General features: G+C 39.5%; 1 protein-coding gene across 35 annotated transcripts in view, besides 1 other annotated feature; it reads right to left on the minus strand.

The window, feature by feature from the left end:
* ENAH (ENAH actin regulator) overlaps window positions 1-17133 on the minus strand; it is a 167050-nt gene that overhangs the window by 88683 nt on the left and 61234 nt on the right. The window lies entirely within an intron of this gene.
* Window positions 504-673: an enhancer, noted in NCBI's record as "experimental_5624 CRE fragment used in MPRA reporter constructs". NCBI's record gives its function as "activates a minimal promoter by MPRAs in K562 erythroleukemia cells, with activity observed for both the introgressed and non-introgressed 1:225763802 variant alleles {active_cell/tissue: K562}" and the evidence as "EXISTENCE:reporter gene assay evidence [ECO:0000049][PMID:34662402]".

A 17133-nucleotide genomic window follows, 5' to 3' on the forward strand; every position in this document is an offset into this window, starting at 1 on the left:
GTGTGCCAGACATTATTCTACCATCCTAGTGCTGGGAGCACACTGGTGTTCAAAATAGTCTAAAACTACAGCAATAACACGCCTTCCCCTCTTCCTGACCTATCTGCCCCATTTTCATCTTCCCAGATACCTTCTAATTCTGATCTGTCCTTGAGAATTCAGAAACTCACCTCTTCTTGAAAGCTTTACACTCCCCCAAAACAAGAACTTATTTCCTGTGCTCTCACAATATATTGTGCATATCATCTCTACCAATATCAGATGTTAAACCCAGGAAGGACTGGCACTGTCTCTCTCCCAATTAAAGATTTGTGAGAGAAGTGGCCTGAAAAGTGGTGAGAGATACTAAGTATAAAAAGTAAACATCTGTAAACTTGGAGTAAGAGCCCTGAAATACGACAGTGAAAGCTTCCTTTTCTGACCTCCAATGCCCAAATGGACAATCTCTCCACTCCTCCCCTTCCCATCCACAAACCATACCACTAGCACTCTAAATGCTCAGAGCTCCTCAACTCATCACTCTGCACTGTTCTGCTCCCAGAGGTTGAGAATCAGCTGTGCAGCCTGGGCAACATAGCAAGACCCCCACCTCTACAGAAATGAAAAAACTTAAAAATCAGCTGGGCACAATGGCACATGCCTGTAGTCTTAAGTACTTGGGAGGCTGAGGTGGGAGGATCACTTGAGCCAGGAGTTCGAGGCCACAGTGAGTCATGATCATGTCACTGCACTCCAGCCTGCATGACAGAGTGAGACTCTGTCTCAAAAAAAAAAAAAAAAACCCAAAAAACAAAAAGAATCAGCTGTCTGTGACCAAATGTATTCATTATAATTGTACTTGTAAGTCTGCAATCTAAATATTATATAAATTGATATGTGAGTATACAGAAATACTATAAAAATTAAGTTAAATGTTTTGAAAAGTCTTTATCAAGGTAGGTCACTAAAAAGATCATACAAGTCTAACAGAATTCTGTATTCAGAATGCTTTGCATATGTCTAAGTTCTCTCTCCACTTCAAAGAAACCAAAGCTGAAACGTCATTATCTGCTGGGGCATGCTTTAGGAAGAAAAACAATATAGAGTTCTCATCACCAGACTAACACTAAAGAAAAAGCTTTACAGCAAAAGACTAGAGAATTAACACATATAACAGAGACTAGAGTATTTAAAGAGTGAGAGGCACCATAGGAGCAAGCACACAGAGGAACATCCATATGAAGAGGCAGCAAGAGGGCGGCCATCTGCAAGCCAAGGAGACAGGCCTCAGAGGAAACCAGCACCAGCCCTGCCAGCACATCAAGCTCAGACTTTTCAGAGCTGTGAGAAAGTAAATTTCTGGGCCAGGCACAGTGGCTCACACCTGTAATCCCAGCACTTTGGGAGGCTGAGGCAGGTGGATTGCTGGAGCCCAGGAGTTCAAGACCAGCCTGGGCAACATAACAAAACCCCACCTCTACAAAAAGTGCAAAACTTAGCTGGGCAGGGTGGCAGGCACGTGTAGTCCCAGCTATTCAGGAGGCTGAGGTGGGAGGATTACTGGAGCCTTGGGCCAAGATTGTGCCACTGCACTCCAACCTGGGTGACAGAGTTAAGACCCCATCTCAAAAAACTTTTTAAAAAACTTAAAAATCTGTTTAAGCTTCCAAAAATAAATGAAAAATAAATATTTAAAGTTATATGTCATTTTTAAGGATACCAAACTTGATTTCAACTAACTAACCACTATCACCAGTAGACCAAATTAGAAACTTATCTCCTTTGCCATTCCATTAAAAAAAGAAAGAAAAAATCTTGCTAAGAATCAGGAGAAAAAATTTGCTTGCTAGTTACAATTCGGTTCTGCCACAATGGCTGAGAGATTGAGGAATACAACAAAAACACTGTGAATGCCACTGACAAACAGCAGATGCAAATAACGGCAGCCTACAAAGTTATTTTCTGCAAGGCAAGAAAACCATCTGGAATGCAGCAGCACCAAATATGCAGAAAGGCAAAACTTCCTCTAAAGACCACACTTATGTTTCATTCATCTTTCTGAGAAATAGAATAATAAATAAAAGGTAAAAACATCAATATGGCACTATTAAACTCTTTGTCCTACAACACCTATATTCATGTGCAAAGTACAAATGCAGTCTAGTATAACTGATCCAGATTCACCAAAGAAAATGGTCAGTCTAAATGACCATCAAAAGCAAGATGGCATGATTTAAAAGAAAACATTTCAGCAAATCTATTGGGTCATTCTGCAGGATGAAAAAATCTCTTAAAATAGGGGAAAACGTTAAAGGTTAAATACAATAGTATGTAGAAAAAGTACTTTAGAGAATGTACCTACCACATGTAGTCATGTGTGCTTAGGAGTAATCTTTTTTTCAATAGGGAGTAATCTTTTTAGGGAGTAATCTTTTCTCAATAATTCTTATGGTACTATTTGACTTCAATCATGAATTCCTCTTACTTAAGTATAGAATCTGCAAAATTCAATAAATGTGACTCAGGCGGTAAAAAGAACCTGTCCCTATCTGCAACATACCTGGAGACAGAGAATAATAAAGACAATTAGAATGCACAATTTCCATATTCTTAGAACCATAAGAGAGACAGAGAAACTTGTAAAACTTACAAAAGCTCTGGAGACCGAAAAAAATAAAAAGAAACATTAACAGGCTGGATACAGTGGCTCTAACCTGCAATCCCAGCACTCTGAGAAGCCAAGGCAGGAAGATCACTTGAGCCCAGGAGTTAGAGATCAGCCTGGACAAAACAAAGTGAGACTCTGTCTCCACAAGATATGAAAAATAAAATAAATTAGCCAGGCACAATGGTGTGCACCTGTAGTCCCACCTACTTGGGAGGCTGAGGTAGAAGGACCACTTCAGCCCAGGAGTGCAAGGTTACAGTGAGCTATTACTGAGCCACTGCATTCCAGCTTGGGCGACAGAGCGAGACACTCTCTCTTAAAAAAGGAAGAAAAGAAAGAAATATTAACAAACTAGTAAGACTGAGATTATCTAGGGTGGGAACCTGCTCTGTGTGTGCAACTCTAGCTGGCCACATAATGACAAAGACAGCCTGCTGCTAAGCAGCACAGAAAAAATTCAAGCAATGCTCTTTCTTGTAATATGAAAGACTAATTAACAAAGATAAAGCAAACGTTACTTGGAAAAATTAAAACCAACAGTTTCAGAAGAATGCACTCTACAACTGTCTATAAATATTTCAGAGTATTGTTTAACTGTAGGCACAAAAAATCCTATCAATGAGGAAAAATCTTATCAGTGAATTACTATCTAATAGAGACTAACAGCTCCCCAGTTAGTCAGTTATAAAGAATCCAAATCTCTTGGTTTATGTTATGAAAGACCTAAATCCCAGAGACAATTAAGTGACATAAGCAGTTACTGAGCCAGTGTTGATACTAATAATACTACTAATAATAGTAAAAAATAAGGATATGTATATAGTACTTACTAAGTGCCATATATGGTTCTATGTGCTTTGCCTTTATTAATTCGCTTATTTCTTCAACAACCTTATGTGGTAGGTACCGTTAATATCCCCATTTTACAGATAGGAAATGGAGACACAAGAAGTGAATTAACTTGACTAAAGACATACTGTAGGGAGAGGCAGAAATGGGACTTAAAGCAGCCAGTCTGCTTCCAGGTCTGGACTTGCAACCACTCTACTAAAAAAAGAAAGATTCTGACTATAAACTATATTAGTTCCACAAAATTACCTCTTCACATATTTTCTATTATTTCCACATTATACTTCATGTTATATTTAATTTGAAGCTAAGAGGAAAGAATTTATTTGCTGAAATTTATGTTCTTTTTAGAAATAACCAAGGTTTATTTTAAAGGTTTCATTACTGAAGATACAATGTTAACCTATAACAAAAACATGTCTAGAATATCAGATTTTTTTAAGGCAGTAGGAAGAAACTTATTCATAAAATTAATACTCCAGGGAAAGTTTCCTTCAAATAGAATCTCAACTTTCTTCAAAGAATTACATGAAAGACAAAATCTGTGGGAAACATTTTAGACATCAAACTATAGATACAGATAGAGATTCACACAGACATGCACACAGAAACATGAAGAATAGAATAGCAGCTATCGTTCCATTATTTTATTTAAACTACTCCAACTTTGTTACTACACAATGTATGAGTTTAGCACATTACAGGACGCACATGAACTTTGAAATCTATTAGCCAATTAGAAGAATATGTCTTTACATCTTTCAAAAAGAATAGGTAAAAAGAAATAATATATTTTCAGTTATAAATATTTTCATCCAAGTCAGTGTAGAAAAATATTGACTAGAAAATTAAGATAAAACTTCAACCTAAAACTACAGAAAAAGAACCTTTCAATGTTTAAAGTTTTGTTATGTTCCTTTATTTGAGATGCTTTGCTGTTCTTCCTATGTAAGACATCACATAGCTTCCTAGTGGTAAACTTTGCTTTTAAAATTTCTCACCCTACTGTGTGATTCTGGTTCCTACTCTAAGTATACACTGTAAGAAATAAAAATTTATTATACCTTCTTCTTCTTCCCCACACCCTCAACTCATCAACAACAAAAAAATAGCTATTAATAATCTCCACACCTCCTAGTATTCATGCCCAGAGACTTACCTCTACTGAACAGAATATGGGAAAAAAAATACATATATATATATATGGAATGTCACTTCCAAGGTTAATTTACGAAGTGACTCTGGCTTCCATCTAGCTTGCCACCACCTTATGGAGAGGCCCACACGAGACAATTATCAGGAATAAAATGAGGCCCTCAGTCTAACAGCTGGCATGCAACTAAATCCAATCCATTAATGTGAATGAGCTTAGAAGCAGATCCTCCTCCCCCCGTGATGACTTCAGTTGAGACTGCAGCCCTGGCCAACATTTTGACTGCATTTATGAAAGACCCTGAGCTAGAGGAACCACCTAAGCCAAACCCAGAATCCTGACCCTCAGAAACTGTGTAATAAATACGTGACGTTTTAAGCCACTAAAACTTTGTGTAATTTATTGTGTGGCTATAAGTAACACACTACCCCTTCACTCCCTCGTGCCTGACCCCAAGACCTTAAACTACTTAAGATTGGGCCGGGTGCAATTCACGCCTGTAATCCCAGCACTTTGGGAGGCCAAGGTGGGTGGATCATTTGAGATCAGGACTTCGAGAACAGCCTGGCCAACATGGTGAAACCCTGTCTCTATTAAAAATACAAAAATTAGCCAGCCATGGTGTCTCGTGCCGTAATCCCAGCTACTTGGGAGGCTGAAGCCTGGGAGGGTGGAAGTTGCAGTGAGCCGAGATCGCATCACTGTACTCCAGCCTGGGCAACAGGGCGAGACTCTGTCTCAAGAAAAAAACCAAAAAAAAAAAAAAAAAAAGCCAAGATTACCTCAGATTTCATAAGCTCCGTGACTTTTAGCACACATATAGGCACACAGGGCTCAGATTCTTCGTCTGGCCACCCATCTTTTTTTAACTGGACTTGTAATTTTCAAAGATCAATTCCCAGTGCACCAGCAAACCTAAACCGTCATTCACAGCATGAGAGTTCACAAAAAGTACAGACATCTAGAAATGGTCACAGAAAAAAAAGAAAAATGTGGGAAAACACTTCACTTGGCAACACATACTTCCCTATCTTAATAAATTCTCCCATTAATAAGAAACTTTTCTCAGTAACTGAATAGATTATTTCACCTGTTTCCTGTAGTTCTTCTTTTCCTCACATTATTTTCATGAAGTTATATGGCAAAGCCTCTCAAAATACTTTCCAAGCACCGTAGAGTTAAAAATATCAAGTGTGGCTAATTTTAGCTATAAAGGCACCAGGCAGAGCCAAGTTAGACAGACGTGGAAATAAAAACGGGATGAAAGATGGAGTGGGAGTGGAGGGTGGAGGGTGAGCCACACTGACTTCTTATATTTTTATTTTGCAAGGTTATTAATTTCAATGAATGAATAGTGTCAGCAAAAGACAAGTACCATATGAGATCAAGAAAGAAAAACTAAAGCAGAATACTATAGAATCTCAATCTATTTTTCTCAAAATGTAAGCAGGGAGGGTTCTGCTTCTGGCCAAGTAATGGCCAACTTTCCAAATGACCCTCCCATAGATAAAACTATAAACTCTGGATTAAAATTAAAAAGAATTTTTTTCTGAGACAGGGTTTCACTCCGTCACCCAGGCTGGAGTGCAGTGGTGCTCACTGCATCCTCTACCTCCCAGGCCCAAGCAATCCTCCTACCTCAGCCTCCCAAGTAGCTGGGACAAACCACAGGCACGCACCACCACACCCAGCTAATTTTTTTTTTTTTTTTTAATTTTTGGTAGAGATGGGATCTCCCTATCTTGCCAAGGCTGGTCTCTAACTCCTGAGCTCAAGCAATCCTCATCTCTGGATAAAATTTATAGAACAACTATATGAAATGTATGGTTTGGATCTGTGTCCCTGCCCAAATGTCATGTCACTGTAATCCCCAATGTTGGGGGTGGGGCCTGGTGCAAGGTGACAGGATAATGAGGGTCGTCCTTTCTGAATGGTTTAGCAACATCCCCTTGGTGCTATTCCTTTGATAGTAAGTTCTCATGAGATCTGGTTGTCTTCCCCCCCTCTCTCTCTCTTGCTCCTGCTCCAGCCACAGGAAGTGCCAGCTCCCCCTTTGCCTTCCGCCATGACTGTAAGTTTCCTGAGGCCTCCCCGGAAGCCAGCATCATGATTCTTGTAAAGCCTATGGAACCGTAAGCCAATTAAACTTCTGTTCTTTATACATTACCCAAGCTCAGGTATTTATTTATAGCAGTGAAAAGAACGGACTAATGCAGGAAGGCACTGGAGAATGAGAAGAAGGGAGTCAACTCTTTTAAGAAAGGAATAATACGGGGAGAGTTCTCTGATGTTTACAGCTTTTAGCCTGACAACTGGTCCTGGTCTGTGCTACATGGGAGAGCTAAAACTCCAACAGAAACCCCCACAGACTTTCTAGCTTAAAGATAAAAGGATAGAGTTCAGGGCAATCCATAGCTGCTGCAAAATGAGAGGAAATTCCTGGGAGGAAAATGAGCCAGTGGGCAGGAAGGAACCCCAAATTCTGTATATAAACTCTGCCTAAATCTCTGGATGATCCCTGATCTACTCATGTGTAGGGCAGTTTCCAAGTAACTAAAAGAGCTGAACCAAAATATGACCCACTGCCTAAAAGACAGAATTTGCTGTTTTGAGTCCAACCAAGTTATACAGATCTGTGGGACAGTATCATTGGGGCTAACATATTAATATGTGTAAGAGTCTGGGACAACTCCCCACTCTCCGCAAAAAAGAGCAAAGCATATTCAATCTAAAAACAACCACAAGTAGGTATATCACAGTTGAAGACGAAGATACTTGAAATGGCTAGAGAAAAATGAAACTTTACATAAAGAAGAACAATAAATTGGATGACCACAGACATCTTCATATTGTACTGCAGAAACAAAAGAGAACAGAGACAATAAAACAACATCTTTAAAGAGCTCAAATACAAAGCTGCCAATCTAGAATTCCATATCCAGGGAAAATATTCTTTAAAAATGAAGGCAAATAAAGATATTTTAAGAAAAAAGAGGCCAGGCGAGGTGGCTCACACCTGTAATCTCAGCACTTTGGGAGGCTGAGGCGAGCAGATCACCTGAGGTCAGAAGTTCAAGACTAGCCTGGCCAACATGGTGAAACCTCATCTCTACAAAAATACAAAAACTAGCCAGGCATGATGGCGGGTGCCTGTAATCCCAGCTACTCAGGAGGCTGAGGTGGGAGAATTGCTTGAACCAGGAGGTGGAGTTGCAGTGAGCCAAGATCGCGCCATTGCACTCCAGACTGGGCGACAGAGGAAGACCCTGTATCAAAAAAAAAAAAAAAAAAAAGAGAGAGAGAATTATTCAAGTTGAAAGAAAATGGTACCAGACACTCAAATAGTCTGTAAGAAATGAAGAGCATTAGGCTGGGCGCAGTGGCACATGCCTGTAATCCCAGCATTTTGGGAAGCAGAGGCGGGTGGATCACCTGAGGTCAGGAGTTCATGACCAGCCTAACATGGTGAAACCCTGTCTCTACTAAATACAAAAAAAGTTAGCCAGGCATGGTGGCGCATGCCTGTAATCTGAGCTACCTGGGAGGCTAAGTCAGGAGAATCACTTGTACCTGGGAGGTGGAGGTTGCAGTGAGCCCAGATTGCACCACTGCACTCCAGCCTGGGCAACAAGAGCAAACCTCCATCTCAAAAAAAAAAAAAGAAAAGAAAGAAAGAAAAGAAATGAAGAGCATCAAAAATGGTAAATGTAGGCCGGGCACAGTGGCTCGCACCTGTAATCCCAGCACTTTGGGAGGCCAAGGCAGGCAGATCACTTGAGGCCAGGGGTTCAAGACCAGCCTGGCAAACATGGTGAAACGCCATCTCCACTAAAAATACAAAAATTAGCCAGGTGTGGTGGTGCACACCTGTAATCCCAGCTATTTGGGAGGCTAAGACACAAGCACTGCTTGAACCCGGGAGATGGAGGTTGCAGTGAGCCAAGATTGTGCCACTGCACACAAGCCTGGGCGACAGAGCAAGACTCTGTTTCAAAAACAAAAAAGGTAAATACAGGATAAATATAAATTGGACTGTGTTCTTTTAAGGTAAAACTTGTAACGTTATCTTAAGAAGTTTCAAATTATGCAGATAGGATATATCAGACAAATACAGCAAAACAAACTGGGGGGAACAAACCTAGAGAGTTGCAAGGTTTCTACATTTTATGCAAAGTGCTACAACATTAACTCTAAGTAAATGGTAAAAGTGAAAGCAATAACTAACAGGAGAGAGAAAATGCAAAGAGGTATAGCAAAAAAGTCAGTAGAAAAATTAAAATAGAATTCTAAAGGTATTCAATTTATCCCCCAAAAAGGCAGAAAAGGAATAACAAAGGACTGAAAACAGAAGGGACAAACAGAATACAAATATTAAAATGGTAGACTGAAGTCCAACCTCTCCATAATTACATGAAATGTTAATGACTAAACACTCTCATTAAAAGGCAGACATTAGATAATAAAGAATCAATTACATGCTGCCCACAGAGATGCACTTTAAATATACAGAAAGCAGGTAGGTTCAAAGTAAATAAACATTGGTAAGCAACAAGATCTTCAAAGTAACATAAAAAAAGGAACAAAGTAAATAAAATATTATATGTCATGAAAACAGTACCCATATAGTAATATCAGAATTGACACATTAGTATCAGATAAAGTAGACTTTTAAGCAGAGGAATTTTTCAAAATTATAAAATGGTCAATTCATCAGAAACAAGTAACAATCCTGAATGTACAGCCACCTAATCACCATCTCTAAATACATAAAGCAAAAACTGACAGAATTAAAGGGAAAAATCTCAGCACTTTGAGAGGCTGAGGCAGGTGGATCATTTGAGGTCAGGAGTTCAAGACCATCCTGGCCAACATGGTGAAACCATATCTCTACTAAAAATACAAAAATTAGCCAGGCAGTAGTGGCGTGTGCCTATAATCCCAGCTACTCAGGAGGCTGAAGCAGGAGAATCGCTTGAGCCTGAGAGGCAGAGGTTGCAGCAAGCTGAGCTCATGCCACTGCACTCCCATCTGGGCGACGGAGTGATACCCTGTCTCAAAAAAAAAAAAAAAAAAAAAAAAAAAAAAAACAGAGAAAGAGAAAAAGACATTTTCACAGTATTAGTTGTAAATTTTAACACCCCCTTAAACTGATAAAACTAGACAACAGAAGTACACAAAAAAATTTGCAAGCACATAGAATAAATGAAGGTTATTAACCACTTTGACTCATTTGATATTTTAAAGACACTATACATAATAACTGCAGAATACACATTCTTTTCAAGTACATCTATAATCACCAAGATAGATGATATGCTGGGCCATAAAAAAAAATTGAATAAATTGCCCAGGTGCAGTGGCTCATGCCTATAATCCCAGCACTTTGGGAGGCCGAGGCAGGTGGATCACCTGAGGTCGGGAGTTCGAGACCAACCTGACCAACATGGAGAAATCCTGTCTCTACTAAAAAAATACAAAATTAGCCGGGCGTGGTGGTGTGCACCTGTAGTCCCAGCTACCCAGAAAGCTGAGGTGGGAGAATTGCTTGAGCCCAGGAGGCTGAGGCTGCAGTGAAGCATGTCTGTACCACTGCACTCCAGCCTAGGAGACAGAGTGAGACCCTGTGTAAAAAATAATAATAAATAAATAAGAAAAAAATCATGAGATGCAGCTAAAGCAGTGACGAATGGGAAATTTATAGTTGTGAATGCATATATGAGAAAAGAAAGGCCTAAAAGCAAAGACTTGAGCTTCGTTCTTAAGTTAGAAAAGAATGGGCATGGCGGCTCACGCCTGTAATCTCAGCATTTTGGGAGGCCAAGGTGGAAGAACTGTTTGAGCCCAGGAGCTTGAGACCAGCCTGGGCAACAAGGTCAGACTCTTAACTCTATAAAAAATTTTAAAAATTGGCCAGGCATGGCTGCGTGCACCCGTAGTCCCAGCTACTTGGGAAGATGAGGCTGGAGGATCAGCTGAGCCAAGGAACTCAAGGCTGAGGCATAAGAATCGTTTGAACCCGGAAGGCGGAGGCTGCAGTGAGCCGAGGTTGCACCACTGCACTCCAGCCTGGGAGACAAGCTCAAAAAAAAAAAAAAAAAGGAAGAAAAAGAGGAGAAGGAGGGGGAAGAAAAGAGGGGAGAGGAGGGGGAAGGAAAAGGGAAAAGTAGAGGGAAAAGGAAGAAAGAAATTGATATATGAAGCTCCTCACAAACAAAACTCCAGGCACATGGTTTCACTAGTGAATTGTGTCAAATAGCTCAGGAAAAAACAGCCCTGATATTATATAAACTCTCAAAAAAATAAAGAAGAAAACATTTCCAGCTTGATTCATGAGACCAGCGTGATCCCAACATGAAAGCCACACAAAGATATTACAAATAAAGAAAATCATATTATCCTTAAATAATACACAAAATTTCTTAACAAAATAGTATCAAAGTTGGCAATATTAAAATACTAACACATCATGACAAAGTAGGGTTTATTCCAGGAATGCAAGATTGGTTTAACATCTGAAAATCAAGGTAATTCACCGTAACAGAATAAAGGAGAAGAACAACGTAATGCAAAAGAGGCAGAAAAAGGCCGAGCATGGTGGCTCACCCGTTATCCCAGCACTGTGAGAAGCCAAGGCAGGCGAACCACTTGAGGGCAGGAGTTCGAGACCAGCCTGGCCAACATGGTGAAACCCTGTCTCTACTAAAAATACAAAAAGTAGCCAGGCGTGGTGGCACGTGCCTGTAGACCCAGCTACTCAGGAGGCTGACCATCTCAAAAAAAAAAGAGGTGGGGGTGGGGTTGGCTGGGGGACAGAAAAAGCAGGGATAAAATGCAACATCTGTCTTGACAAAAACTCTCAGAAAAGTAGGAAGAGAAGTGATTTCCCCTAATGTGATAAAGATCATATATTAAAATATCTAGAACATCATACTTAATTTTGAAATACTGAACTCCTTCCCCCTAAGGTCAGGTAGAAGGCAAGGATTAACCACTTCTATTCAACATTGTATTGGTGGTCCTAGCCTTTGCACTAAGGCAAAGAAAGAAAAGGAAAAAAAAGAAAGGACAGAAAGGGAAAATAGCCTCTACTTGCAGATGACGAATTGCTGCTTATGGAAAATCCTAAGGAATCTACAAAGCAGCAAATTAGTAAGTGAATTTAGCAAGGTCACAGGATTCAAGTTTAATTTAAAAAATCAGTTGCATTTTTTATATAGTAGCAACAACAAACCAGAAAAATAAAGTTTTAAAAACTGCATTTGCAATAGCACCCAAAAAAGAAAATCTTCATAATATCATGCGTAAAATCTTTATGCTGAAAACTAAAAAACACTGGTAAGAGAAATTTTAAAAAACTTAAACATATACAATGTTCATGGATTGGAAGCCTCAATATTGTTAAGATGTCAAGTCTCTCCTAAATTAATCTACAAGTTAAATGCAATCACAATGAAAATCCCATCAAGCCATTTTTGTAGAAATTGACAAACTAATTATAATATTCATATGGAAATTCAAAGAGCACAGAATATCCAAAACAACAACAAAAAAAGAATAATGATAGAAGACTAATAGTATCTGATTTCAAGATTACAAAGCTACAGCAATTAAGAGGGTATGGTAGTGGCCTCAAAAATAGACAAATATATCAATGAAACAGGACAGAGTCCAGAAATCAACACATATAAAGACAACTAATTTTTTAAAAAGACGTCAGTGGAGAAAAGATAATCTTTTCAATAAGTGGTGCTGGAACAACTGGATATGCATGCAGAAAAAAAATCTCAATGCATACCTCACACCATACAAAAAAATTATTCAAGATATATCGATTTAAACCTAAAAGCTAGACCCATAAACTTGGAGAAGGAAACCTAGGAGAAAAATCATCACAGGAAGGCAAAAGCTCTTCTCAATAATTACAGGGAAAAAAGGCAAATTAAAATTTTCTCCCATAAAAAGACACTTTTAAGAAAATGCATAGAGTATATAAATTTTTTCTCAATAAAGCTGTTACAGGAAGAAAGAGAGGGAGGAGGGGAAAAGGGAGAGAATGCATACATAGGCAAGGCACAGATGAAGAAAAAAATCTACGAAACATAAATCTGACATGAATCCAACATTTCTGAAACTCCAACAACCAATAAAACATTGGGCAAATAAGTTGAACAGATGTCACAAAACATGATATATAAATGCTCAGTAAATTTGTGTTAAATCATTAATCATCAGGGAAACGCCAGTTAAAATCACAATAAGATGCCACTACATAACCAGCAGGATGGCTAAAACATGGTTTAACCCTAACTCCCACACAGCAATGGTGAGAGTATAAAATGGTTCAACAAACTTTGAAAGAAAAGTTGGGGCCGGGCATAGTGGCTCACGCCTGTAATCCCAACACTTTGGGAGGCCAAGGTGGACGGATCACGAAGTCAGGAGATTGAGACCAGCCTGGCCAACACGGTGAAACGCCGTCTCGACTAAAAATACAAAAATTAGCTGGGCTTGGTGGCGCATGCCTGTAGTCCCAGCTACTCAGGAGGCTGAGGCAGAATCGCCTGAACATGGGAGGCGGAGGTTGCAGTGAGCCGAGGTCGTGCCACTGCACTCCAGCCTGGCAATAGAGCAAGTCTGTGTCAAAAAAAAAAAAAAAAAAAAAAAAGGAAAAAACTTGGCAGTTTCTTACAGAATTAAACAAACACCTACCCTCTGACAAGTCAATTTCAATGTTAGGTATTGCTCAAAACTGGAAACAGCCCAGGTATCCATCGACAAGACGATGAATAAATTGTGGTGTATTCACCCAAAGATTCATCAGAAAACAAGAAAAGCAAACAACTGATATACATGACATGATAAATTGCAAAAACATTATGCTGTGAAGAAAGCCTTACACAAGAGTATATATTTTACGGTTCCTAGATGAATTCTGGAACAGGAAAAAAAAGCTAATCTATAGTAGAAACAAAACAGTATGGGCAGCAGGGGAGGCAAAGCGAGGAGTGACATGGGAAGGAGCTTCAGGGAATTTTGCCATCACCCCCAGAACATTCTGTAATCTTGAAAGGAGTTTGAGTTACACGTTTGCATCTGTTAAAACTTTCCCAATAATCTGTGCATTCCGCTATATATATATCACAAAAGGAAAAAATATATATAAGCATTATTGAACCCTAGGTAACGATATAAATACTGACATACTTAGGCAATAGTGTGCTGACTACAACTTACTTTTTATTTAGAAATGCATCTAAATAAATAAATAAATTATAGTCAGCCCTCAGTATCCTCGGAGGAACTGGCTGCAGGACTCCCACAGATATTAAAATCTGCTAATACTCAAGTCCCTTACATAAAATGGTATAGTATTTACATATAACCTATACACATCCTCTGGTATACTTTAAATCTCTGGATTACTTATAATACCTAATACAATGTAAATAGTTGTTATACTGCATTGTATTTTTATGCGTATTATTGTTGCATTGTTTTTTAATATTTTTTATCTGTGGATATGAAACCCATAGGGGGCCAACTGTATACAGAGAAGGATGGAGAGACAGATGTGTGATAAAGCAAATATAGTAAAATGTTAATATTAATAGTAGGCTCTAGATTGTGGGTATACATATGTTAACAGAAAAATTCAACCATTCTGTATTCTTGAAATTTTTCATAATAAAATGTTGAAGGGAAAATTAAGCATGTGTGCACTCCCCGTGCAGCTTTTTCTAATAAAAGAACTAATTATGCACAGACTTCATTAGAGGGGAAAAGAATGTCATGTTTTATTTCTCCATATTCATTCAAGTAAGTATTCTAAGAATTTTAAATCAAATGGGTTGAGAAACAACATATAAATGATAATAAAATTTGGTAGATGCTGTGGTGACTAATTGCCTCCCCTCATCACTCAACACACACACACACACACACACACACACACACACACACACACACACACAGCACCAAGGTTTAAACACAGATTCCAAATTCACCATTTCAACTAATACCTGTTAAAAAGTGCCAAACAGGGGCCAGGCGTGGTGGCTCACGCCTATAATCCCAGCACTTTGGGAGACCGAATCACTTGAGGCCAGGAGTTCGACACCTGCTCAGCCAACATGGTGAGACGCTGTCTCAACTAAAAAATACAAAAATTACCCGGGCATGATGGCGCACACCTACTCAGGAGGCTGAGGCTCAAAAATCACTTGAGCCCGGGAGGTGGAGGTTCCAGTGAGCTGAGATCGCACCACTGCACTCTAGCCTGTCTCAAAAAAAAAGAAAAAAGAAAAAAGAAAAAAGGCAAATAGGTATTTACAGTCCATACTTCTCTCCTGAGCAACAAACTCACATAAACAGCTGCCTATTATGTGTTTCTACTTAGATATCATACATACCTCAAAATACAACCTATTTTTCTCCCCCCCATTCCCTTTCCCAGATGAAGGATACCAAAACCATACTGTCTGGCCCGAGCTAGAAACTGGAGTGCCCTAGATGACTCCTCTGCCAACATCCCTATGTCAGTCTCCAGCCCTGTCAATTCTACCACCCAAACATCTCTACTAACACCTCCTCCACTCTGTTCCACTGTGCCACTACATTAATGCATTCTTTCTTTCCTAGATTACAACAGCCTCCAAAACAGCCTTTCTACCGCCAGCCTCTCCACCTAGAAGCCCCATAATCTACTTCCTGAGCAAGAATAAGCATCTAAATATTACCTAGAAAATATAATATCCTACAATTTCTGCAAAGGAGAATCTAGTTAGGAATAGTTCAATTAGAATCTTTTATAAAATACATTTACTTTTCCATTGGCTTCATTGGTCTTATTTTCAGGTGAACTATTAAAGACAGCTTATTAATGCTATAACACTTTTTAAGTTAAGACCAGATGACAATGATGATTTTATTATAGAATTGTTGCTAAGCATATTTTGTGTTATCAGAATCATTGGCACATGGACTATACATTTTTTTCTCACACATTCTATACCTCAACAAAGCTTCAGGCCAGGCGCGGTGGCTCATGCCTGTAATCCCAGCCCTTTGGGAGGCCAAGGCAGGGGGATCATCTGAGGTCAGGAGTTCGAGACCAGTCTGGCTAACATGGTGAAACCCTGTCTTTACTAAAAATACAAAAATTAGAAGGGCGTGGTGGTGATGCCTGTAATCCCAGCTACTCAGGAGGCTGAGGCAGGAGAATCGCTTGAACCCCGGAGGTGGAGGTTGCAGTGAGCCGAGACTGCGCCATTGCACTCCAGCCTGGGCGACAAGAGCGAAACTACGTTTAAAAAAAAAAAAAAAACAGTCGGGTGTGGTGGCTCATGCCCGGAATCCCAGAACTTTGGGAGTCCAAGGTGGGCGGATCACGAGGTCAGGAGATCAAGACCATCCTGGCCAACATGGTGAAACCCTGTCTCTACTAAAAATACAAAAATTAGCCAGGCATGATGGCAGGCGCCTGTAGTCCCAGCTACTTGGGAGGCTGAGGCAGGAGAACTGCCTGAACCCGGGAGGCGGAGGCTGCAGTGAGCCGAGATCGCGTCACTGCACTCCAGCCTGGGCGACAGAGACAGACTCCGTCTCAAAAAAAAAAAAAAAAAAAAAAAAAAGGGCTTCAAAAGTCTTTCTGAAATGTTTAACATCAGTACTAAATTATTCAGGGCAGAGTGTTGGTCTCTTTAGAAGCACCAGAGCATGGGGATTAAGAGGAGGCAATCTGAAGTTAAACCTAAGTGAATTACAATTCTGGCTCTGTCATTTCCTAGTTGCGTCACCTTAAACAAGTTTTTATTTAGCCTCATTAAGCCTCTGTTCCCTGATTTCTAGAGTATAATAATAACAGTAATACCTCATGGATCTGTTGTGAGAATAAAACCATGTACATGAAGCATTCAAGTATCTGGCACATGTTAGGTACTCAGCGATGTTACTCATTACTATTACTGTGAGCAGCAACAGTATTTTGGTAAATGGAGATTGCAAATAAATAAATCTAGCTATCTGCTAGAACCACAAGTGAGCTCAACACTACCAAACAGTACACCTTTAACATTTGATGTGTTAACAAACAATCCCAAAGACCCACATGCCTCGAGCCATCCTCTGACCAATACAAGAATCTAAACTTCCCATTCTGCCAGTCTGATATGTGGGGAGTGAACGTGACCAATTCCCTATCCAGCAAGTGAGCCTGGTGAACTTCCTATGAAGTGCATCCCAATGAGGCTCTCTTCATTTTTACTCTTCCCTGGATACTCATTTTATGTGGTGGGTATTCTAGGCCAAAGTGGTTATCTGTCAATCTGAGAATCCGCGATGTTTAGTACATCTCTATGAACTGAAATACAATTCTAACTTCTTGTTTCAATTTAAGTTAACTGCTACTATATGTGACTTAAGGTTTATGTACTTTTCAAGTCCTCAGAAATTGTCTTTTGTTATATTTTAGTATTTGGATTAAAAG

Source organism: Homo sapiens, chromosome 1 (assembly GCF_000001405.40).
Source record: "Homo sapiens chromosome 1, GRCh38.p14 Primary Assembly".
NCBI classification, from domain to species: domain Eukaryota; kingdom Metazoa; phylum Chordata; class Mammalia; order Primates; family Hominidae; genus Homo; species Homo sapiens.